A 27,253-nucleotide genomic window follows, 5' to 3' on the forward strand; every position below is an offset into this window, starting at 1 on the left:
GGACCAGATGGATTCGCAGCCGAATTCTACCAGAGGTACAAAGAGGAGCTGGTACCATTCCTTCTGAAACTATTCCAATCAATAGAAAAACAGGGAATCCTCCCAAACTCATTTTATGAGGCCAGCATCATCCTGATACCAAAGCCTGGCAGAGACACAACAAAAAAAGGGAATTTTAGGCCAATATCCCTGATGAACATTGATGTAAAAATCCTCAATAAAATACTGGCAAACCAAATCCAGCAGCAAATCAAAAAGCTTATCCACCACAATCAAGTCGGCTTCATCCCTGGGATGCAAGACTGCTTCAACGTACCCAAATCAATAGACATAATCTATCACATAAACAGAACCAATGATAAAAACCACATGATTATGTCAATAGATGCAGAAAAGGCCTTCAACAAAAATCAACAGCCTTTCGTGCTAAAAACTCTCAATAAACTAGGTATTGATGGAATGTATCTCAAAATAATAAGAGCTATTTATGACAAACCCACAGCCAATATCATACTGAATGGGCAAAAACTGGAAGCATTCCCTTTGAAAACTGGCATAAGACAAGGATGCCCTCTCTCACCACTCCCATTCAACATAGTAATGGAAGTTCTGGCCAAAGCAATCAGACAAGAGAAAGAAATAAAGTGTATTCAATTAGGAAAAGAGGAGGTCAAATTGTCTTTGTTTGTGGATCACATGATTGTATATTTAGAAAACCCCATCATCTCAGCCCAAAATCTCCTTAAGCTGATAAGCAACTTCAGCAAAGTCTCAGGATACAAAATCAATGTGCAAAAATCACAAGCATTCCAATACACCAATAACAGACAGAGAGCCAAATCATGAGTGAACTCCCATTCATAATTACTATAAAGAGAATAAAATACCTAGGAATCCAATTTACAAGGGATATGAAGGACCTCCTCAAGGAGAACTACAAACCACTGCTCAATGAAATAAAAGAGGTCACAAACAAATAGAAGAACATTCCATGCTCATGGATAGGAAGAATCAATATCATGAAAATGGCCATAGTGCCCAAGGTAATTCAATGCTATCCCCATCAAGCTCCCACTGACTCTTCACAGAATTGGAAAAAACTACTTTAAATTTCATATGAAACCAAGACAATCCTGAGCAAAAAGAACAAAGCTGGAGGCATCATGCTACCTGACTTCAAACTATACCACAAGGCCACAGTAACCAAAACAGCATGACACTGGTACTAAAACAGAGATATAGACCAATGGAACAGAACAGAAGCCTCAGAAATAACACCACACATCTACAACCATCTGATCTGACAAACCTGACAAAAACAAGCAATGGGGAAAGGATTCCCTATTTAATAAATGTTGCTGGGAAAACTGGCTAGCCATATGCACAAAGCTGAAACTGGATCCCTTCCTTACACCTTATACAAAAATTAACTCAAGATGGATTAAAGACTTAAACGTAAGACCTAAAACCATAAAAACCCTAGAAGAAAACCTAGGCAATACCGTTCAGGACATAGGCATGGGCAAAGACTTCATGACTAAAACACCAAAAGCAATGGCAACAAAAGCCAAAATTGACAAACGGGATCTAATTAAACTAAGAAGCTTCTGCACAGCAAAAGAAACTATCATCAAAGTGAACAGGCAACCTACAGAATGGGAGAAAATCTTTGCAATCTATCCATCTGACAAAGGGCTAATATCCAGAATCTACACAGAACATAAACAAATTTATAAGAAAAAAACAAACAACCCCATCAGAAAGTGGGCAAAGGACATGAACAGACACTTCTCAAAGGAAGACATTTATGCAGCCAACAGACATATGAAAAAATGCTGATCATCACTGGTCATCAGAGAAATGCAAATCAAAACCACAATGAGATACCATCTCACGCCAGTTAGAATGGTGATCATTAAAAAGTCAGGAAATAACAGATGCTGGAGAGGATGTGGAGAAATAGGAACACTTTTACACTGTTGGTGGGAGTGTAAATTAGTTCAACCATTGTGGAAGACAGTGTGGTGATTCCTCAAGGATCTAGAACTAGAAATACCATTTGAGCCAGCAATCCCATTACTGGGTATATATCCAAAGGATTATAAATCATGCTACTATAAAGACACATGCACACATATGTTTATTGTGGCACTATTCACAATAGCAAAGACTTGTAACCAACCCAAATGTCCATCAATAATAGACTAGATAAAGACAATGTGTCACATATACACCATGGGATACTACGCAGCCATAAAAAAGGATGAGTTCATGTCCTTTATAGGGACATGGATGAAGCTGGAAACCATCATTCTCAGCAAAATATCACAAGGACAGAAAATCAAACACTACAGGTTCTCACTCATAAGTGGGAGTTGAACAATGAGGACACATGGACACAGGGAGGGGAACATCACAGACTGGGGCCTGTTGGTGGGTGGGGGGCTGGGGGAGGGATAGCGTTAGGAGAAATACCTAATGTAAATGATGAGTTGATGGCTGTAGCAAACCACCATGGCACATGTATACCTATGTAACAAACCTGCACGTTGTGCACAAGTATCCTAGAACTTAAAGTATAATAATAAAAAAAATTATATTAAAATTACATATCTGATTCAATAGATATTAAATCAGTAAAGATAAAAATAACTTTAGAATCTTAGGATAACATGGCATATAATATATTCCCTACATGAAAAATAAATGGAACTTTCTTTTTGATAGCTTTATTATTTAATGTATTTACATGAAGATATATGACCTTTATGTTAAAAATATCGAAGGGTATCTTCCTCCCCCTCTTCCATTTCTTTTTCTAACTTAAACTTTGGGTTGGGCAACTGTGTATATGTAAATACAACTTGATCTTCCAATAAATAACTAAACTTTAAAATTAACAAACAGATAAAGTGAACCTGTTGGGGTAACCAGACATGAAAACAGAATTCACCTAAAATTTCATATATTATGCTCAAAAAAACCAATATCTTCAATTTAAATTAATCCAAAAATGAGATAATGGCAAGAAGTATGTATGTTCACATAGGATTAAAGCTGTTCAGAAAATGAGGAAATAATGAAAGGCAAATTATCACTCAGCTTCCTGCCTCTCAGCCATCCCTCTCTCCTCAGAGAAAGCCTGGAACTGAAAGACTGTGTGTCTGACCTCTAATAACCTGATTCCAGAATCATCCACAAGCATAAAACAGTAAAATAATAAATTCTGGTGTTAGGAATCAAGAAAATACCCTTATTGGCTGTTTTGTGTGTCATAATCTAAGAGGTCTACAACATATCACTAAATACTCAGGGGATGCACTGTGCCCCAGGTCCACGACCCAGTCAGGGACATTACATTGTTTTTATTGTTGCTAATGGCTGATGCTTAGGTCTTCACAGGGCCATAAAATGAACATCCAGTGGAAGCAGGTGATAAGTAGGATCACAGGACAAAAACAGACCCAAAAGGTACAAGTGCAAAAGAAAACACAGCTTGTACCTGACCCCAAAGCAAATGTGAGAATCCTTCTCAATTGCTATACTAAGACTACAGCAGGCTTGTCAAACCTTTCTGGCTACCCTTGTACCTCCAAGAGGCTTTTCAGTAAAGCAGTATTTTAAAAATTTCCCTTTTGCTTTTTATATATTTTTCTAAATTAGAATTTCATAGTAGAAAACACTACATTATTTCTCTTATCTTACAAGATCATAAAGAGCGAGGAAAAAAGATTGGCAGAGAAGACCGCTTGTCTCTCTCCCATTGGAGACGGGAGCCAAATTAATTATTTCCGCCCCCCCTTATCTTCTGAAGCAAAATAAATGAATTTTGTCTGACAGTCAAGTGTTTCCAATGCAATTTTTATCCTTCCTTTCTGGAGCATATTTTAGTCTTCCTACATAAAACAGCAGGACTTTGATTCTGCCACAGAAGGCACTTTAAAGTCTGTCTTATCTCACCTCACAAGTGTTTTGTCAAGGAAGATGAAAACTATTTTTATTTTATGGATGAGAAAAATAAAGATTCCGGAAAAACAGTAAGTGATCTTTTCAAAATGCAAATTAGTGATGGAGTTAAGAATAAAAGTTCACTTTCACACCGTGCAGAATCATGCCCTTCTAGACCACTCCTCTCAAACTTTTAACAGGCACTCACCTAGGAACCTTGTTAACATGTAGATTCCATTTGAGTTCATCTGGGATTGTGCCGAGATTGTAAATTTTTAACAAGCTCCTAAGTGATGCTGGAATTGCTGGTCCATGAACCATACTTTGAGTAGCAAGGCCAGCCTGTTAGCAATTTTTCATGCAATGCTAGCCTCAAGTCATTGGAAGAGAAAGCAACTAGAGTTACAACTAGCACACTGAGATTTGTCCATAAAGCAGCACTCTGTATTATCTCTTAACTGAAAAACCAAAACAAGAGAATGAAAGAAAATTTGGCTTTGCTCAAAGGAGTATGTCCAAAATCCCTGCTTAAAAGTGTCAGTGCCTCATAATGTTGAGTTGGTGCGAATTTGGGTTAATGTCAGTGACCCTTCACTTTTGTTAGACTAGCTTAGGATGTCTCAAGGGGTCAGACTCCTAAACTTTCTTCAAACTTAGGTCAGCTACCTAACTAGTTAGACTCAAGAAAGGAGACATATATATATATATACTGAGCTAGTTTAACAACAACAACTATATATATATATATATATATATATATATTTTTTTTTTAAACATGATCCTTCTTGGTGACATTAGCAAATGAGACAAAACAACATTTTTAGCCAACAGTTATAAGTTCACTCCTTTCCAAGACCCTGCCAAATGAATGTGCTGCTCCCTTCTCCTCCTCTTCCATACCCCAGTCTATTGTCTGCTCTGACAGCACAGGCATGCCCCAGTAGGCCCAGAATTTGGCTGTCGAGAACACTGTATGCAGATTATCTCTTTAAATGCTATATTTTCAACTCTGCCTCCCCCACTATCTTATTTTTGGTCTTTCCTTGTGCTTTCTAGAATGTGGCTGTTTATTTTCTACTTAGAACCTAAATGCTGGATTCAGAAGACAGGAGGGGAATTCATATGCCATATTTCTTATCAGAATTTGAAAGGAAATTTGTTTCAGATTAGGAATGTCTAAATGATGTCCCAGGGAAGATAATTTTAGTTCCCCAACATGCAACACTTGGAAAAATTTAGGTAGAAAACAGCGTTTCCTGTTCATATGCAATGTTCTAAGTGCCTGAGAAAGAAAAGACCGTGGAAGGCACTTGTCACCAAGAGAAGAAAAAACTATATAGTCATTTGGGTATTTTGCATACCCTAAAGGTATGCAAAACCTTAAAAGGCTTTACACATGTTATTTAATATAGCACCTGATGCCAAAAGATCAGAAGAATTGTATAGGCTTTCTCCAATTAGTAAATTTGACAACTCTACAACATAGCAAAAGATTTGAAATCATAATGATATATTTAAATTATTTAATTAAGAAAAAAATCTGGATAACTCATTTTAGTAGTGAGGACACTACTGACCAACAACATTGGCATAGTATAATTTGAGAGAGAAATCTCCTATTTTTGTTCCTGTTGGGTAGAGATAACGATCATACATTGAGTTTTTACTATGTGACATGCACTGTGTTAATTCTTAGACCAACGTTATTTCATTATCTTTTAACACTTCTATGAGAAGTGTTAAATTAAAATTCTTTCACCAAATTCACAAAGAGACAAACCTAGGTTGTGACTCCAAAGCTCGTTTTCTTAAATACTATGCTTTAAATTTACATAGCTATACTATGCTATGAATATATATATTTGATGCGTTCTTTTGAATGAAAGTCAGTGAAGACTATATATTTCAAATTAGGCAATATATAGTCACTGAGATAGCAGTTGACTGAACTGGACAGACCAAGGCTCAGATCCCTGCTTGAACTACTGCATCTTCAAAGGGAGCAATCCCCACCCGGAGCCTCTGCTGCTGAGGTTCCCAGGTTTTGTACCTCAAATTCTGTCTCCACAGGGCCGCAGGGCACGAGACCTGAGAGCAGAAAATTGATAAGCCAGCCAGCAATCTAGGACACAAACCACAAAATCAGATTACCTTCTTGGGGACTTGAACTGGACACTTGGGGATCATGAACCAGTTGAATCAAAAGCAGAAGGTAATAATCATAAATACATGTGTACAAGACTGCAGCCATGTATTAAACAGAGGTATGAGTGCTTAGAAGATGAGAACGTCAAGTTGGGAGAACACTCTAGTTGGGAAAGGTGAGGCGATTTTAAAAGATGGCAGGTTTGTAACAAACCTGCACATCTGCGCATGTATCCCAGAACTTAAAATTAAATTAAATTAAAATTTTTAAAAAAGATCACAGGTAAAAGAAATTCCATGAGAAACTGAACATATTAAGAGAAAGAGAGAGAGAACACCCAAGTATAAAGCTAATGTTTTTACTTGTGCTCTCATGAATCTAAGACAAGAGTAGCTTCATTTTGATTTCCCTCATTTTCCTCTATTTGTTTTACCTTCTCTGCCAGAGTCATGTACGTATCTTCTTTCATGTGTTTGATGTTTCTGTTAAGACAGCTCAAGGCTCTTCTACTGTATTATTGCTTTTATTGATAAGAACAATCCTAGTCTATTGGGTGATCTTTAATGGTTGTTTTGCTGTTGTTATTATTGAGTCTTGAGGCAATCGTTTTCTGAAATAATCTTAAGTTGACTCCATTGCTCAACTATCTGATTAAGTAGCTTTATATTCTTAAAACAAATATTTCATTTGTTTTTAAATTTTATTCTTCCAAATATAGGAGCACCCAGGATTAGGCAAGATATTTAAAGTAGACATAAAATTACTATGTTTCCTCATATGCTAAGAAAACAGAAAACGTTGGTGTACATACAAAAAAGATATTTGATCGCCTTTTTTTCTTCTTAAAATACGTTTATGAGGTATCAGTTGAATGAGAACAAAATGGTAGCAGTGGGTGGGAAGCTGGAAAATGACCTAAATTCTAGGATACGAATCCAATGCATTGTAGATAAATATGTTAGCTGTGGCACCATAACCCGCTGGATCCATCAACCATGTGGATCCATGATGGGGACAAGTGAATACAAAAGGTAAAAATGAAAATTTTAGAAAAAGGAAAGGGATGAGACTAGGGAACACTTCAGGTCAAGAACAGGGAGGCAAGAGAAAGGAAGAAGTTAGCTTATCTCAATTTCACTAAGCAGAATATGAAGGCTGAACAAATAAATGCCCTTATCTTTTTTTTTTCTTTTTTTTTGAGACGGACTCTCGCTCTGTAGCCCAGGCTGGAGTGCAGTGGTGTGATCTCAGCTCACTGCAACCTCTGCCTCCCAGGTTCAAGTGATTCTCCTGCCTCAGCTTCCCCAGTAGCTGGGATTACAGGTGTGTGCCACCACACCCGGCTAATTTTTTGTATTTTTAGTAGAGACGGGGTTTCACTGTGTTAGCAAGGATGGTCTCGATCTCCTGACCTCGTGATCTGCCCATCTTGGCCTCCCAAAGTGCTGGGATTACAGGCGTGAGCCACCACACCCAGCCACCTTTATCTTTTCAAGATGGCGCTCTCATTCACTTATCGCTATGACTATTATCTACTGCAATCTATGTACTTGCATAACATGACCTAAATAGGTAGATATACCATATTCATGGATGACTTAATGCTTTAAAGATAGTACTTCTTGCCAAATTAATCTAAACATTTGAGAACATTTTGACCAAAATCCAAAAATTATATTCTAAATAAAACCTGAAAATTAAATTCACAAGATTACCTGAATGATAGTGCCAAGGAGAGGTGCGCTCTATAGAATACCAAAGGATGCTATAAAGGTATGTTCTAACTACCATACTGACAAAGTGATAAAAAGAAAGATTGGGCTGGGTGGTGGCTTACACCTGTAATCCCAGGACTTTTTGAGGCCGAGGCAGGCAGATCACTTGAGGTCAGGAGTTTGAGACCAGCCTGGCCAACAGGGTGAAACCCCATCTGTACCAAAAATACAAAAATTAGCCAGGTGTAGTGCATGCCTCTAGCTACGTGGGAGGCTGAGGTGGGAGAATCACTTGAACCCAGGAGGCAGAGGTTACAGTGAACCGAGGTCATGCCACTGCACTCCAGCCTGGGTAACAAAATAAGACCCTGTATCAAAAACAAACAAACAAAAAAAACAAAAAACAAAGCAAAACAAAAAACACAAACAGGAAAAGAAAAAAATTGTTTTGTGGTCAGAACATTTAAGCAAATTTCAAGTACACAATGTAGTACTGCTAACTCTAGTCACTATGCTGCATATTCGATCCCCTGAGCTTATTCATTTTATAGCTGAAAGCTGGTACAGCTGTTGTTGTTGCTTTATTTAAGAGAAAGTTTTCAGTGTATCTCAACATTTGAAGAATTGCTTGGTCCAAGGGCAAGTACACTTCAAATGTTGAGTTACACTGAAAACTTTCTCTTAAAAAAAAATAGCTGTATCAGCTATCTCAAAATGTAATAGCACTGGCATATAAAGTGATACATATTAGAATGTTTACTGTAACACTCTGTAATAATAAAAAATTGGAAATCACCTACATTTCCATCTTTTGGAGAATAAATAATACTACTATACTAGTAGTAGTATAATATTCACACCACAGAAAATGATGCAGTTATCAAAAATAACAAGGTAGAGCTGCATGTACTAACAAGGAAGGCTTATGTGGAAAAACAGGCTACAGATGGATATCTGTCACCTAATTCTATTTACATTTTTTTTAAAAGACCAATGGTATATGTGTGTACATCTATGTATGTGTATGTATATATATATATGCGCATTGGTACATAGAAAAAATACACTCCAAATTGTTAATAACCAGAATGCAAGATCCAGAACACAAAAATTGTAGGCATAGTGCCTATAACAGATATTACCAATTAATAAAAGTACAATATATTTTTTTCGAATGAATGAATGGTAATTTTAGTGATGAAGACATGTTAGCATTGGGAAAATGCTGGTAAAGGAAATCTTTATTTTTTCTTGGTATCTTTCCAGATTGAGATTTTATCAAGTATAGTATCTTTCTAGATTGTTTGAGATTTTATCAAGCATGTTATAATAATTTTGTAATTAAAACTTAAATACAGATAAAAATAAACTCTTGCCTACCCCTTTCAGATAATGTTATAATGTGTCACAAGAAACAAACATATTTCTTGGTAATAAAACAAAATTATTTGTAAAGTACTACCAGGGCCAGCCTGTCTGCATATAGCCCTTTTTCCTAAAAAGTAAAAAAATCATCCTAAAGATTAGAGATTTCTGATCCTGCTACATGGCATGACTAGCTAGTCCTTCAAGTTAAAAAATATATCCATTGGTGATAAAGAAACATATTGAATATTATTGTCCCCTGAGCCTCTTACCATGATATACTCAGCTGTATGTGAAAGGATTTTGAGAAAACAGAGCCTAGCAAGGGGTCTCATGCCAATGGGTCCTGCCAAGGAGGAGGGTCTTCTGTATTTCCAGGGAGCAGCTATAGACATGGAGCTTAATGACTGCCTAAGTGTTCAAACTGCCAAGGCACACTTCATTCCAAATATGAAGATATTCACAATGTACCTTTCAAATATTTAGAAAATATTTCTAACAGGTACTTTGTAATTTTTAATGGCAAAAAGTTAGAGTTTAGATTGTGACTGTTCATAACTGCCATCACTTGCCCCCAAACTTTACAAATCAGTTCAGTGTTACTTTACATGGTTAAAGGTCTAGTTTGTATGGCTGATATAATACATGCTATGTAAATAAATATGGTCATAAAATTGCTATAGATTTGGCTTTGATTTTAACACAAAATATGCCATATGCTTATTATAAATATTTAGTATCAAGTTCTATATTATGATTACCTCAATTCCTCAACAGTCAACTTTTAATCCGGGGGTGTCCAATCTTTTGGCTTCCCTCGGCCACATTAGAAGAAGAAGAAGAACTGTCTTGGGCTACACATAAAATACACTAACAATAGCTGAAACAAAAGCTAAAAAGAAAAAAATCACAAAAAATTCTCATAATGTTATAAGAAAGTTGATGAATTTGTGTTGGGCCACATTCAAAGCTGTCCTGAGCCACAAGTTGGATAAGCTTGTTTAATCTTGGCTTTTTGCTAAAAGCTAAAGCATTTGGCTGATACCTTTCCTGACTTAGCCCCCAGAATAACGACCCTTTTGGTTCCCCTTCTCCCTTAACAGGGGTTATTGCTTGTGTTCTTTGCGGCCTATCAATATTGGGGCACCCCAGAGCTCAGCCCTGACCTCTTCCTTCTCTGTGTTCTCTCTCCCCAGGTGATCTCAATTAGCCACAATTCTTCAAATACAACTATATGCTGAAGATTATCCATTTTAAATCTCCAAGCCCTCTGCTGAAGTCCAGACTCACATATCCACACAGACTTGACTTCTCTACCTGGATTTCTGTGAGGCATTTCAAATTCAACTTCAAATTCTTGATTTATATCTCCAAGTGTTAGGTCTTTTCCATCTCATAATATGACAACTCTATTATTTTAGTCATTCAGGCTGAAAGTCTTGAAATCATCTTTGACTTCTGTCTTTCTCTTTCAAACCGCATGTCAGCAAATTCCATTGTCTCATTTTAAAATATACACAGCATCTGACTGCTTTCCATCTCAACCTAGTGTTTTGTTGCTAGCAAATCCCATCACCTCCACCTGAACACAGGCAGCAGCCACCTCGCCGCCTATCCTCCTTTCGCAGATGCTCCCTCATGTCCGTGCACGGAGCCAGAGCAGCTCCTTTCTTTCTTTTTTTCTCTTTTTTTTTTGAGACGGAGTCTCGCTTTGTCGCCCAGGCTGGAGTGCAGTGGTGCGATCTTGGCTCACTGCAAGCTCCGCCTCCCGGGTTCGCGCCATTCTCCTGCCTCAGCCTCCCGAGTAGCTGGGACTACAGGCGCCCGCCATCACGCCTGGCTAATTTTTTGTATTTTTAGTAGAGAGGGGGTTTCACCGTGTTAGCCAGGATGGTCTTGATCTCCTGACCTCGTGATCCACCTGCCTCGGCCTCCCAAAATGCTGGGATTACAGACGTGAGCCACCACGCCCGGCCCAGAGCAGCTCTTTTCAAATTTCAGTGAGATGGCACCGCTCCTCCCTGCAGAGGGAACCCTGCAGCCACTTCCCCTCCCACTTTTGAGTGGAACCCAGAGTGCTCACCGCCTACATGGCCCTACATGATGGGATCCCTGCCCACTTCTTGCACCTCTGCTCCTGGCCACACGCCCTCCACTCTACACACTCCACACTCTGTCTTCCTGCCGCTAGTCTTCAATCACCTCTAGCACTGTCTGACTGCACTTGTTGTGTTTTTGCCTGGAAGACTCTTCCCCAAATATTAATTTGGCTCACCCTCTCCCCTCCATAGTTTTCTGCTCAAATATCGACTTATCAGAGAGATTTTCCAGGACTACCAATGTAAAATCACACACCCCACCCCATACCCCACCTCTGTCCAGTCTCTCTCTAACCCCCTTGCCCTGCCTCTTGTAAAAAAAGCATGGCTTTTAACAACCACCGAATCTATCATACGTGCTGTTTCCTACTGTTTCCCTACCAGTCTCTCCCCTCAGTGTTAGCTCTGTAGGGCTGTTTATTTTGGCTTTCGTTTGCTTTTTGCCCAGCTCATGGCATGGTGCTTGGCATATAAAAAGCACTTGACAAATATTGTTGAATGAATGGAGTTCCCACACCCAGAGATATCATAATAGTATTTACATGCTCCTGTTTCTAGCATTAGGTGGGTGACCTGTACTACCTCACCAGTAGTTATTGAAAAACATGTAATATCATGATTGTCGAAGGAGAGAAATTATCTTAGTTATATATGGCTTGGCTCACATCATGTCTCACTCAACCCTGTGTCTTGCTGATTATTCAGAATTATTCTTAGGTATTAAGGCGATTAGAATCTCAGGCTGTGGAGTCAAACAGAACTGCATTTCAGATACAACTTTCACACTTACTAGTTACATGACTGTTTTAAGCAATTTACTTAATCAGTTTAAGCCCCAGTAAAATAGAGGTATTTTTCTTCTTCCATAAAACAGAGGTGATGAAAAAGTACCTACTTCTAACTTGGTGGCAGAGGTGATGAAAAAGTACCTACTTCCAACTTGGTGGTAGAGCAGAAACACAGAAACCTTTCACTCTGAGATCAAGCAACCACAAAAATGCCCATGATTGCCATTTCTATCAGCATTGTACTTTGGGTCTACCCAAAACAAGAAAAATAAGTAGCAGATATAGTGTTTGGAAAGGAAAAAAGCAAAACCATTATCATTTGTAGAAATATGATCATATACATAAAAAAATTTAGGATAAATTACTAGAATTAAAATGACAATTTAGAAAGTTTGATTCTTAAAAATGCATTTTAAAAACTAATTGCATTCATGTAAACCAGCAATAGTTATAAAATGAAAAAGAGAAAAATCGATGTTAAAAATAGCATTTAAAACTATGAAATATATAGAACTAAATCTAACAAATATGTTCAAGACTTTTCATAGAAAATATAAATTGTGAAATTTATTATAAGATGTAAGAAAGACAAATAAATGGAGAGAGGTAAAGAGACCAATTTCATGTACTGGAAAATTTTAGACCATAACGATTTCTGTTTCCCCCAGATTGAATCTAAAAATGTAACGCAATTCATGCCAAAGTCCCACAGACTGTGTGTATGCACGCATGTGCATGTGTGTGTATGTGTGGGTAATTTCACTGGGTGATTCTAAAAGGTATATGGAGGTTAAAATGGCCAAGAGTATCCTAAACACCCTTAAAAAAAGAACAAAGTAGGAAAACATGTGTTACCAGATTTTAAAACTTATTTTGTAAAAAGAATGGTATGAGCCAGGGTAGAAAAAGTGGCCCACTGGGTAGATGAAAGTCTAAAAAGCACCAGCACTCGATTCATGAGAAAGATGACACTGAAGACTCATGTGGATGTTTGGGAGAAAAATGGCGTGTACAGAAATGATACTAGGAAAATTATATTTGCATATGGAGTAAGATGATATTGTATCTCATTCATGGAACACATCAAAATAATTCCAAGTGGACTAACGTTTATAAAATATGGAAGAATATCTTTAAGATACCAGTGTAGGGAGAAATTTCTTGATACCAAAAAAAAGCATTTAACCATAAAGGAAAGGATAGATAATTTTAATCACTTTAAAACTGAGTTCTATTTATTAAAAGATACTACTTTACAAGAAAAGTGAAGTAAAAAAGTAGAAAATACATTTGCAATATGTTAAACTGACAATGAAGGAGTATCCAGAATGTATACATTCCTACAAATCCATTGGAAAAACAAAAAAACACCTATAAAGGTATGGGTAAAAGAGTGAAATAAACACTCTTAGATGTGCTAATCCATAATCAAGATTACCACCTGCCAATTTTGCAAAAATTCAGAAACTCAACTTTACCAATGAGGATGTGGGGCTTTGAGAGCGCTCATCCATGCTGAAGAGATGTATTTTGGTGGAACCAATTTATAAAGCAATTTCATCTAGTAAAGTTGAAGATAGGCATACATCATGGCCAGCAATTCCATTTCCAGGTGTATACCCGTAGAGAAATGCAGGCATATGTGGACCAAAATACATATGTAAGAATTTTCATTAAGAGCATTTAAAGGCAAGCCACAGACTGAAAGAAAAAATGTGCAAAACACATAAATAAAGGACTTAATAAATAGAGAGACTATAGCAAATAACAATGTAGTATATAGTTCAAGATAGCTAGAAGATTTTGAATGTTGTTACCACAAATAAATAATAAATGCTTAAAGTGATGGATATGGTATTACCCAGATTTGATCATTACACTAGTATAATGAATATATTCATGCATTGAAACATCACACCGGGCCAGGCGCGGTGGCTGATGCCTGTAATCCCAGCACTTTGGGAGGCCGAGGTGGGTGGATCACCTGAGGTCAGGAGTTTGAGTCCAGCCTGACCAATATGGTGAAACCCTGTCTCTACTAAAAATACAAAAATTATCTGGGCATGGTGGCTGTAATGGGAAGCTGAGGCAGGAGAATCACTGGAACCTGGAGGTTGCAGTGAGCCGAGAATGCACCACTACACTCCAGCCTGGGCGACAGAGTAAGACTCAGTCTCAAAAAAAAAAGAAACATCACACCGTACCACATTAATATGTACAATTGTTATATGTCAATTATAGGTAAGAAATTAAATAAAAATAAACTATAAACTATCTTGTAGACAATAATGTATCATCAAACTGAATATTCTGCTCTCATGTACTTCCTATACTTATATTGACTCAGTTTGAATCTGGTCCCAAAAACTCACAAAATATAAGACTGTCACCAACATCACATAAGCAAAAATCATTAACTTGTACATGTAGAGTAATAAAATGACGTTTCACATTAAAAATATTATTCATATACACACACATACAAAGATTCAAAAGAAAACAAAAAGCTAATGGAAAAAATAGGCAAAAGATCTCAACAGATACCTCACCAAAGAAAGTATATACAAAAATTAATAAATTCTGAGCAGCCATCTTATGTTAAAGAAAAGAAGGCATATAAATAGCAAAAAAGCGTATGAAAAGATGCTCAACATCATGAGTCATTAGGGAATTCTAAATTAAAACAATAAAATGTTACTACCCACCTACTAGCATGGCGAAAATCCAAAACACAGAAAACACCAAACGTTGGCAAGGATGTGAAGCAACAGGAACTCTCATTCATTGATGGTGGGAATGCAAAATGGTACAGCCACTTTGCAAGACAGTTTGGCATCTCTTATACAGTTAAACATACTCTTACCATACAATCCAGCAATTGTACTCATTGCTATTTACCCCAAAGAGTTGAAAACTTGCATCCATGCAATAATCTGCACCCACATGTTGCTAGCAGGGTTATTCATAATTTTAAAAACTTGGAAGCTACAAAGATGTCTTTCAATAGGTGAATGAATAACAAACTGTGATGCATCCATACAATGGAATATTATTCAATGATTAAAAAGTGACCTATCCAGGAGATCGAGACCATCCTGGCTAACACGGTGAAACCCCGTCTCTACTAAAAACACAAAAAATTAGCTGGGCGTGGTGGCAGGTACCTATAGTCCCAGCTACTCAGGAGGCTGAGGCAGGAGAATGGCATGAATCCAGGAGGCAGAGCTTTCACTGAGCCGAGATCGCGCCACTGCACTGCAGCCTGGACGACAGAGAGAGACTCCATCTCAAAAAAAGAAAAAGTGACCTATCAAGCTACAAAAGACTTAGAAGAAGCTTAAATTCATATTACCAAATGAAAGAAGCCAATCTGAAAAGGGTACATACCATATAATTGCAACTATGTGACATTCTGGAAAAGGTAAAATTAAAGAGGTAGTAAAAAAGATGAGAGGTTGTCAGGTTCCTGGGAGAAGGGTAGAAGGATGAATAGATGGAGCACAGGGGATATTTTTTACGGCAGTGAAACTAGTCTGTATGATACTGTATTAGTGGATACATGACGTTATACATTTGTCAAAACCCATAGAACTGTATGACATAACGACATAAAGAGTGAACCCCATGCCAGGCGCGGTGGCTCACGTCTGTAATCCCAGCACTTTGGGAGGCCGAGGCAGGTGGATCACCTGAGGTCAGGGGTTTGAGACCAACCTGGACAACATAGTGAAACCCTGTCTCTACTGAAAATACAAAAATTAGCTGGGCATGGTGGCGAGCGCCTATAGTCCTAGCTACTTGGGAGGCTGAGGCAGGAGAATCGCTTGAACCCAGGAGGTGGAGGTTGCAGTGAGCCGAGATCACGCCACTGCACTCCAGCCTGGGTGACAGAGTGAGACTTTGCCTCAACAACAACAACAACAACAACAACAACAACAACAACAAAGAGTGAACCCTAATGTAAACCATAGACTTTAGTTAATAAAAAAGTATGAATATTTATTGCCAGTTGTAACAAATGAACCATACTAATGCAAGGTGTTAATAATAGAGGAAATTGTGTATGGAATGGAGGGGGTATATGTAAACTCTGTACTGTCTGCTCAATTTTTCTATAAATCAAAAAGTGCTCTACAAAGTTAAGCCTATTAATTTCAAAATAAGAATCTCCACAGCAGCATTTTACATAAGAGCCCACAACTGAAAAAAAAAGTGTTCACCAATAGTAGATACATTTATTGTTGTATAGTAAAACAATGGAGTACTATAAAACAATGAAAATGAATGAATTCCGGCTGGATAAAGAGGATATTACAAAGGGTTTCTGCATTATGCCTGCACTTCTCTAGGGGTATACACCTGGAAGTGGAACTGCTGGCCATGATGTATGCCTATCTTCAACTTTACTAGATGATGACAAATTGCTTTCTAAATTGGTTCCACCAAAATATATCTCTTCAGCATGGGTGAGCACTCTCAATACCCCACACCCTCACAAGTAATTTGCTGGCTGATTTCTGTTTCTTGACCCAAATGGTGGCCACGTGGTTACTGTGTGTGTGTGTGTGTGTGTGTGTGTGTGTGTGTATGCATGTGTGTGTATTTATGGAGTATTTTAGATAGAGAGAGAACACTCTTCTATGTATATGATACTTTTCAGTATAATTAACAATTTCCATGAAACAGAAGAAATGATGAAGCATATAAATATCGAGTCATGAAAAGAAATGGAAAACCAAACATTTGAACTTAATTAAACCAAAAAGCTTCTGCACAGCAAAAGAAACAATCAGCAGAGTAAACAAGCAACCCAGAGAGTGGGAGAAAATCTTCATAATCTGTACATCTGACAAAGGACCAATATCCAGAATCTACAAGGAACACAAACAAATTAGGAAGAAAAAAAAATGACTTAATCCTATCAAAAAATGGGCTAAGGACATGAATAGACAGTTCTCAAAAGAAGACATACAAATGGCCAACAAACACGAAGAAATGTTCAATTAGTGATGGAAACCACTAATTGCCAGGGAAATGCAAATCAAAACCATAATGTGATACCACCTTATTACTGCAAGAATGTCCGTAACTAAAAAATAATAGATGTTGGTGTGGAGGTGGTGAACAGGGATCACTTCTACACTGCTGGTGGGAATGTAAACTAGGACAACCACACTATGGAAAACAGTGTGGCGATTCCTTAAAGAACTAAAAGCAGAACTACAATTTGATCCAGCAATCCCACTACTGGATATCTACTCACAGGAAAAGAAGTCATTATACGAAGAAGGATACTTGCATGCATGTTTACAGCAGCACAATTCGCAATTGCTAAAATATGGAACCAGCCCAGATGCCCATCAGTCAACAAGTGGATAAAGAAACTGTGGTACATATATACCATAGAATACTACTCAGCCATAAAAAGGAACGAAATAATGGCATTCACAGCAACCTTGGATGGAATTGGAGGCCATTATTCTAAGTGAAGTAACTCAGGAATGGAAAACCAAAATTGTATGTTCTCACTCATAAGTGGGAGCTAAGCTATGAGGATGCAAAGGCACGATAAAATAGACTTTGGGGACTCGGGGGAAAGGATAAGAGTGAGGTGACAGATAAAAGACTACAAGTTGGGTACAGTATATGCTGCTGAGCAAAATCTCAGAAATCACCACTGAAGAACTCATTCATGTAACCACACAACACCACCTGTTCCCCAAAAACCTATGGAAATAACAAATTAAAAATAAATAAAAATACGCATCTATCTGCATATACTTGTACTCTCCTGCTAAGGAGTAAATAATAAAAACTTCAATAACATCAAAAAAGAAAGAAAACCAAGGATTTAATCAACAACAAGAAGTTATAAGAAAGAGAAGAAAAATTGAAGACCCCTCTGATAACTTTCCAACCCTCTACACCGCTAGACCACATGATAAGCAAAACAAACACTTCGGCCTTGCTGCCAGACAGACAAGGAGGAGAGGCCTGTGACAGGTCACTTTGGCTCAAAGCCACATTAATTTAGAAATGACCCCAGCATCAAACATGACAATACTCCCTATTTTTTTCTTCCAATGCTGTTTTCCATACTCTATACAGACAAAAAGTGCTCAAAAAACTGTTGATAAAACACAATTCTAGTAGCATAGTATTAAAAGGGATGTCCAACATAACAGACTTCAAAGACTTTTTTTTGTCATGACATACACAGTTTACATCATAATAAATGTGGTATTCTGGGCAGGAATTTGTGACCATGAGCAGTGGTACACCTAGCGTACTTAACGCCCAGGGCAGATCACTGTTAATACCCGCTCCTCAACGTTTCAAACTGTTTTACATCTAAAATCACGGTGGCTCATGCCTGTAATCCCAGCAATTTGGGAGGCCGAGGCGGGTGGATCACATGAGATCAGGAGTTCGAGACCAGCCTGACCAACGTGGTGAAACCCCATCTCTACTAAAAATACAAAATTAGCCAGGCGTGGTGGCGCATGCCTGTAATCCCAGCTACTTGGGAGGCTGAGGCAGGAGAATCACTTGAACGCAGGAGGCAGAGGTTGCCGTGAGCTGAGATCACACCATTGCACTCCAGCATGGGCAACAAGAGTGAAACTCTGTCTCAAATAAAATAAAATCCTCACCTCTAAATTTATTCCTTTCTGAGTGGAAGATTCCTCTTACCTTATTCACATTCTGTCTCTTCTGAACCTACTACCTTCCTTTTTCAATTATGACCTCCAACTCCTCAACCCCTCCTACTTCTTTCAAACTGTCATCGCCACTCTAAGCTTACGTACCTCCAAACTCTAGATTACACTTGTCACCATCTCCCATACCTTTGCCCCAGTGACTTCCTACCACCTACCACTCCTAACTCCTAGCTTCAGGAAAAATTGTAGGAAGTAGGATGAAAAACAAAGGTAATGTAAAATCTAAGTACTATGAATGGCCTACTTAAATCACACAAATCTGCAGGTAACCTAATCAGCATAACTTCATGACAACTCATAGAGATCTTTAGCCACCTGACACAGGATCAGAGAAAGCAGGTGGTGAATCACCCATGCCTGAGATCAATGCCATTGATGCCAATGATCATATATTCAAGGTTTTCCCAACATCAAATGATACTTCACAAAACAAGATTACTAGGTAATGTTCTAGGAACAAAATTAAGTGCTGAGGATACAAAGGCCAAGATCAGTCTTCACCCTGATAGGCATGCTGCAGAACCCCTCATCTCCCCTTCCTTCCCGTCTCCACTGCCACCTCAGCTGTTATGCAGGCTCCCTAAACCTTCTTATGTCCTGTCTCCTCTTATTCTCTTCTTCCCTGCACTCTACAGCTAAAATAATTTTTCTTTTCTTTCTTTTTTTTTTTTTTTTTTGAGACAGAATCTCGCTCTGTCACCCAGGCTGGAGTGCAGTGGCACGATCTCGGCTCACTGCAATCTCCGCCTCCAGGGTTCACACCATTCTCCTGCCTCAGCCTCCCGAGTAGGTGGGACTACAGGCGCCCGCCACCACACCTGGCTAATTTTTTGTGTTTTTAATAGAGATGGGGTTTCACCATGTTAGCCAGGATGGTCTCGATCTCCTGACCTTGTGATCCGCCCACCTCGGCCTCCCAAAGTGCTGGGATTACAGGTGTGAGCCACCGTGCCTGGCCCAGCTACAATAATTTTTCTAAAGCATACTTCCAACTCACCCTGATGAGAAATGGTCATCCATTAGCTGTTTAAATTAAGGAACACCTATCCCAGTATTCAACCTCAACCAAATGTCCTTTCCATCCCCTTTACCCACGCCTCCCTTCTCCATGTACATATCTTGCCACTTAGATGAGATCTTGTCTTGGGTCCCTGCTCTCTTTTAAACCTCTCTCTGGAGTGCTCTGTATCTCTTCTGTGGCACCTATTTTACTCTGCTTTCTTTTGTTAAATGTGTCTAGTTCCTCCCACTCAGCCCATTAGGTGTTAACATTTTTTAGACCAGAATTGTACCTTGTTCACAATTTTTTTTTTTTTTTTTTGAAACGGAGTCTTGCTCTGTCACCCAGGCTGGGGTGCAGTGGTGCAATCTCGGCTCACTGCAACCTCTGCCTCGCAGGTTCAAGCAATTCTCCTGCCTCAGCCTCTAGAGTAGCTGGGATTACAGGTGTGTGCCACCATACCTGGCTAATTTTTGTATTTTTAGTAGAGACAGGGTTTTACTATGTTGGCCAGGCTGGTCTCGAACTCCTGACCTCGTGATCCGCCTACCTCGGCCTCACAAAGTGCTGGGATTACAGATGTGAGCCACCCTGCCCAGTCCCCCTGGTTCACATTTTATTCACTTTAGCACAAAGTACATCAGCACATGTATGTTAGGTACTCAAAAAAATGATATATACACAATATAATAATGCAAAATTGAATGGAGTCCAGTTTTGGACTTATTTTTTATTACATACTTCCTGAGGAGGCATACTGCATGATTCCAACAGCAACTCTCAAAGTAGCTAGCTAAAGTACTGTTCACACTCAGATTGTGTACAATTTTGTTAATATTTTTTAAATCCTAAAATCTGGCTCATTCATGTCACTTTCCTGAAACATCATGCATGCTCTAGAATGCCTGCCTCTTCTTTAACAATGTTTTATTTTTTTTAATTAAGCTTGTTATCTACATGACTCCCAGATCAATTCTGGCTGTGCTTATACCTGATAATTTATTTGTATAAATTGGGTATTCGTCTTATTTGCTGACATGCAGCTTTTCAGCATCCAGAGTAAGGTTTCTTCATTCATTAAGTAGAAGTGACATTGTCTCCACATTGTCAGCAGGTAGTGTGTGTTGTACATATGTGACTTACTATCACACAGGCATAAGTCATGGTTCAAAAAATTTCTAACAAAAGAAATGAGGAGCACAGGGTAAAATTGAGCTGAAATGAACATGTCATTAACCCTCTCACCTCTTTTCCCATTATGCTTTGTGAAAATAATCAGTGAATAATTCCTAGAGCTCTGGAACCTGGAACTCTCAGTGAAGAAAGGCAATAGGAGGCAATTAACACCCTGATTTTATTTTTTCAATAGCTTAACACTACAGGAGAAAATGTCTAACAGAGTATTTAAATTCAGCATAAAATCCTAGCAACCACAATTTTAATTGCATACTAACTGCAAAAATATTTCTTTCATTGTCTAAATAAAAGGAAGACTGTAATATGTACTGTCTGCTTGTTTCAGGACTCAGTTATTAATCTTTAAGAATCTTTGCTAGGATGAAAGCCTCTTCTTCCAGCAAATGCATCCTGAGACTGGGACTTAATCTTTTAAAATCCTAGCTCTCATTTTGAACCATGTTAAGATTTCTATCCCTGATATAAAAACACCTTGAACAATTTCAGACACAAGAATTTCAGGAATTTTTTATTAGTAACTCAAAAACAATACCTTTTAAAAGTCACAAAAATGAAAAGCTACCTTTGTCTGCAACACATAAACACACATGTAAAAAAAAATGCACAATATGAAATTTGATTACTCAACAGCAAGTCATCACAAATGCAAGCAAAGATTGGGTTGCTGTTTCCATAGAGATGACTTTAAGTGGTTCAGTTCTTCTGGGAATTTAACCAAATCCCCAGCAGCAGAAGAAAATCATCAGCAAAAATTCTGTAGCATATGAGAACTGCCAACAAATCAATGAGAGAAAAAAAATACTTTCATTTTCTTTTCCTTTTTACCAAGAGGAATACTGTCACATTGAGCTGTTTGAAGAAGTATACAGATTTTGCTGGTCACTCTGCATGTAACTCAAAACTAAATAATACCAGGTTGCTTCATTCTTACATTAAAAGGGCTGGTGGTACCCAGCCAGGCTCTACAGCACATGCAATCCTGGAATGGCATTTAGCCAGGAACAAGGACTGTTGCATCTTCCCATGTCTCTGGCTATGGTCCTAAAAGAAAACCCTCAACCTCCAGGGTTATCTCTTGGGAAAGAATGCAAATGGGATTTTATTCTCTAGTATGTTTTTGAAGCTATGCTCATCCTGGGGGGTGTGTGTGTGTGTTTGAAATTTTTTTAGTTCTACTTACGACCCAGTGATTAAAGTAAGCGTTTGTAGGAGAAAAATAATAGATGTAGTACTTTTTATTATTTTCTTTAGTTTCACCAGTCCTATATCTGGAAGTCTCTTCTAAGCATCAAGATAGAGGTCATCTAGTTCAAGATGCTTAAATTCTCTCTTCAGTATATCTTTTCAAGAACAAGAGGTGTGACCAATACACAATAGGCAATCAATATTCAATGAAAATGTTTGTCTCAGAATGAGTAAAGACCTCCAGTGATAAGGAATGCATTCCTTTCCAAGGAACCCATTCTATTTTTTGAAGAGTTCACAACATCAAAAAAAAGTTCTTATGCTGAGCATGAATCTATCTCCTTTTGACTTGCACCATTGAACTCAATTCTGTGCTTCCAAGGAGATACAATTAAGCTCAATACTTTCACCAAACGACAGCAACTCACAAACCTGAGGGCGGGTTGAGACTACTCTTCCTCACAGTCCAATCTTCAGCCCTCTCCATTCCTCAGTGACAAGGTTTCCTTTCTCCTCCCTATGCTACTCATTCACCTCTAGAAATAGGTTGGTTTGCCAGACTTTATTTACTCCAGTTCTTCTAATCTAGATAGTTGGCCTAAATAAAGGGGAGAAGTATAAGAAAAATGCCATCAGAGGCCAGGCAGGTCTGTGTAAAGCATCTTTAGGTAAGGCCTCAGAGAGTGGTGACAACTGTTATAACTTGGAGAATTAGTTACCAGGCTGAGTAATGAAATTTACATACTTTTAAAATATTACATACACACACACACACACACACACACACACACACAACTTGTTCTGCAGTTGTGATCCTTGGGCAAATTACGCTGATACCAAAAATTAAATTAGCAGGGTACCCATCTGAAATTTGAGAACTTAAAGAAACATTCCCTGATTAGGCTAGAGGAGAGGAGAGAGCAGTCATCTATGTCATTAGACACTCTGGCAAGTGATTATGAGAATTTAGCAAGTCAACTTTCTCTCAATGGCACACCAAAAATATACAAACCAAACTCATCATTCTTTCACTGCTCAGTATCTTCCATCAGGTAAGCGTGTTTTACAGCAGAATGAATAGCGCACAATCAGAAAAGATACGTCACGATTGAACAGTAATAAAAATAAGTTAGTCCTGGATAAAAGACAAGGACCAGTTATCAGAGTATTTTTTAAACCTCATATTATTAACTTCCACACACAATTAATTCTTTCCTTTGTTAAGACTTAAAATGTTTTCTGAACGCATGAGTTGTGCTCTCCTTTATATGTAAAGGTTCTAATGCTGCACAAAGTGCATGCAAATTGTCTGTCTTCCCATCAACCACACAGGAACATTCAGGAGCCGACAGGCTAAGAATTAGATACTGTCTGGGGCACAGCCCAGAGAAAGTGGCTGATCTAAGCTCATTTTGAACTATCAAGGTGATGTTATGAATACCAGACTACAAAATCCTGATTTAACCACCACAGGCTCCAGCGCATGGGACATGGGACCAAAAAAGAGGCAAGTTTTTTCTCCGATTGGTGGAAAAGTATCATTATTTTATGATCACATGTCTTGGAGTTCTGAAGCAATTGGTTAGTGACACTTATAGCAAGTAATTAGTGGCCTAGTAGCTGGAGTTGTCCACATGCAAACTCCTCTACAAAGCAACCTCTGGGCATAGCCCCACTTGACTAATTATTGAATCATCATTCATGAGTTTAACCATTCTTGTTACAAATTAATATTACAGTTCCATATACAAACAAATATTCACTCTCTAACGAAGAATAAATAATTTATTGGTTTACCTTTGTCCATGATCTTTGATCCAGCAGGCTTATCTGGGACAGTAAGATGGTCATGATTGCTACTCAATGAAGAAGTATCATCACTAGATAAAGAGTTCAAAAATCCACTTTCTGATGTGACAAAACTGTTTTCCAGGGCCTTGTGGATGCCTGCCTCTGAGGGTACAGGTGAATGAACTTGCACAGCAAACGTTATTGGTTGTCCCTCATCTTCAGCAGCAGACAAACTGTTAACTGTGTCAGGCAAGGATTGTCTCTCTTTAGATAAGGAGGAAGGAAAACTGCTGGGTGTCTTCACTGTATTTTCCAGGGAAGAGAAAGAATACGACGTTCCACTCAGGCTGGGTGAGGATGAAGATGCCTGCTGTGCAGTCTATTTTTCACAAATAAAACCAAAAAAAGAATAAAAGACATCATGATTAAACCATCATTCTCTACCTTTTATTTTCAATCACGGTGTCCCCGTGTTATTTCAAAAAGTGACCAATAATAAAAGAGTCAAAAGGTAAAGATATGATATTTATTTCTGTTTGACACACATTAGGATTTCATTCTCCAAAACTGATTTATGTAACTTTAAATTCACTGTTCTAGGATCTGAAAAATCTCCTTATCATGATTTGTCCTATTCTTCAATGCTCTCCAGAAACTTAAAAGGCCTCTTTTGGGAATGCTTCAGAATACTGCATTACACTTTGAGCAAAATATAATTTGCAATCTATCACTGAATTCACACTGATGGAACAAGAAAGATAATTATGAAAAAGGAGAGGCTGGGTGCGATGGCTCATGCCTGTAATCCCAGCACTTTGGAAGACCGAGACAGGCAGATCACCTGAGGCCGGGAGTTTGAGACCAGCCGGGCCAGTATGTTGAAACCCCATCTCTACTAAAAATACAAAAATTAGCCTGGCTTGGTGGCGCGCACCTGTAGTCCCAGCTATTCAGGAGACTGAGGCAGGAGAATCACTTGAACCTGGGAGGCAGAGATTGCAGCGAGCTAAGATCATGCCACTGCACTCCAGTCTGGGTGACAGAGTGAGACTCTGCCTCCAGAAAAGAAAAAGAGAGCAAAAGCTGGAGCCATTCCAGAAACAAAATACGAACTTAAACCCTTGAATATCGCTCACATACTCCTTAGTGCATGAAAAGCCTTGGCGACATTTTCATCAGTACACAGAGAAAACATCAAAGCAACATCACCAATGATATGGTTGGTTCTGTGTCCCTATCCAAATCTCACCTCGAATTGTAATCCCCACATGTCGAGGGAGGGACCTGATGGGAGGTGATTGGATCATGGGGGTGGTTTCCCCCATGCTGTTCTCATGATAGTGAGTGAGTTCTCATGAGATCTGATAGTTTAAAAGTGTTTGGCAGTTCCCACCTCACTCACTCTTTCTGCTGCCACCATGTAAGATGTGCCTTGTTTCCCCTTCGCCTTCCTCCATGATTGTAAAGTTTCCTGAGGCCTCCCCAGCCATGTGGAACTGTGAGTCAATTAAAATCTCTTTTCTTTATAAATTACCCAGTCTCTGATAGTTCTTTACAGAGGTGTGAAAATGGATTAATATAACCAACAATTCTTGGAAAGAACTTCATTTATTCTGAGATTTTTATCTTTGCTACATTTTGATGTTGAAATACATGCCTTCTTTTTAAAAAATGGTGACAGTACATATAAGCCTTTGTCTCTTTGTCTCTTTGTCTCTTTTCCTTTCTTTAATGTCCTATGTAGCAAAATAAAGATTCAGCAACTCTGTCTTGTTCCTCCATTTTTAACTTTATTGGCCAACAAAATCAAAAAATCTAGACTCCAGTACTCTACAGATCACCCTATATCTCCAACAGCAGACAAGGTAGAGAAGGCATTTTATGGTTCAGTTGCATTACATCATCCTATGGGACATGCCTGTCAACATCAAGCATTCAAAACTCTAAGGAAGGCCAGGCGCGGTGGCTCATGCCTGTAATCCCAGCACTTTGGGAGGCCGAGGTGGGCAGATCTCTTGAGGTGAGGAGTTCAAGACCAGCCTGGCCAACATGGCGAAACCCCGTCTCTACTAAAAATACAAAAATTAGCAGGACATGGTGGCTCATGCCTGTAATCCCAGCTACTCGGGAAGCTGAGGCAGGAGAATCACTTGAACTCAAGAAGCGGAAGTTGCAGTGAGCCAAGATCACATGATTGTACTCCAGCCTGGGCAACAGAGTGAGGCTCCATCTCAAAAAAACAAACAAACAAAAAAACTCCAAGGAAGTGTCAGGAAGGTTGACAGAGAGAGGAAGCCAAAGAGCAAACTAGGATCTTCTTCAAAAACCCTCAGAATCATTGCAACTAATTCAGAACAGTTGACCTTCTTCCAAATCAATATGGTCCCCAGGAAATTTGTAGATTCTGAGCTCTGAGTTTTGATGGGAGAAGCCAATATTTACCTAATGTGTACCCAATCAGTTCCATGCTAGACACGGATTGTCAGATAATCAATAAATACACTTTTAAGTAGCATGACATTAAAATCTCTAGTTAAGATACTAACTAATCACATATCTTCTCAATAATCATATACTGGCACGTACATAAAAAAAATCCATTCAGGAATATGTCAAGTACCTTGTAAACTGGTTACCTTACATCACTTAGATCTTTAATAACCAAGAGATCAAAGACCTATAATTTCAATAAAACCCTAGTTATCTAGAGGAGGGAATGCACTACCCCCAAATTGTCCAAATAAATGGCAGGAATAGTTTACTCGTTAGCAGGATCTACAAAATAAATATTAACAAAAATATCCATTCTGGACCAGTCCTGACACGTTCCCCTATTGTGAGCTATTTTAGTAAAATTCAACTTCTATGTGATCAACTTCCTTTTTTCGAAACAACACCAAATAAGCTTTTCCTCTTACTCCTGCTGACTCTACTTTAAATTAGATTATAGCAAACTGGGCTATTTGAACAACAGACCATGTACACAGTTGCTACAGGACTGTCTGTAAGGTTTATTGAACCTCAAAACTCTGCTTAAAGTATCAAGACCTGTTAAATGAGCATTAGAAATATCTGTGAAGTGTCATCGTGTTTGTGCTATGACTCAAACACAGTGCAAATGCTCTCTCAATCCATTTTCTCTAGGCACCAGGCACCACTTATAAATTTCATTTTTAAATGGAGAAAAGAAGAATGAAGGGAAAAAAAGAAATAGAAGAAACACGAAGACTTGGAGAAGAGGAAAAGGAAAATGAGAAAGTGACTACATATTCAGGTCAGGGGGAGTTTTCATTGGAA

The 27,253-nt window shown here is 38.5% G+C and overlaps 2 protein-coding genes across 8 annotated transcripts in view; one reads left to right on the plus strand and one right to left on the minus strand.

Annotated features, from left to right (window-relative positions):
* Nucleotides 1-27,253, plus strand: part of OPRM1 (opioid receptor mu 1) — a 236,372-nt gene that overhangs the window by 165,210 nt on the left and 43,909 nt on the right. The gene's annotated exons all lie outside the window — the stretch shown is intronic.
* The window catches only part of IPCEF1 (interaction protein for cytohesin exchange factors 1), a 202,308-nt gene that overhangs the window by 21,210 nt on the left and 153,845 nt on the right, over nucleotides 1-27,253 (minus strand). For all 7 annotated transcript variants that reach the window (NM_015553.3, NM_001130700.2, NM_001394799.1 and 4 more), the window contains one exon: nucleotides 23,963-24,335. In NM_015553.3, coding sequence (NP_056368.1) covers nucleotides 23,963-24,335 — 373 coding nt within the window. The remainder of the gene's footprint in view (nucleotides 1-23,962; nucleotides 24,336-27,253) is intronic.

Source organism: Homo sapiens, chromosome 6 (genome assembly GCF_000001405.40).
Source record: "Homo sapiens chromosome 6, GRCh38.p14 Primary Assembly".
NCBI classification, from domain to species: Eukaryota; Metazoa; Chordata; class Mammalia; order Primates; family Hominidae; genus Homo; species Homo sapiens.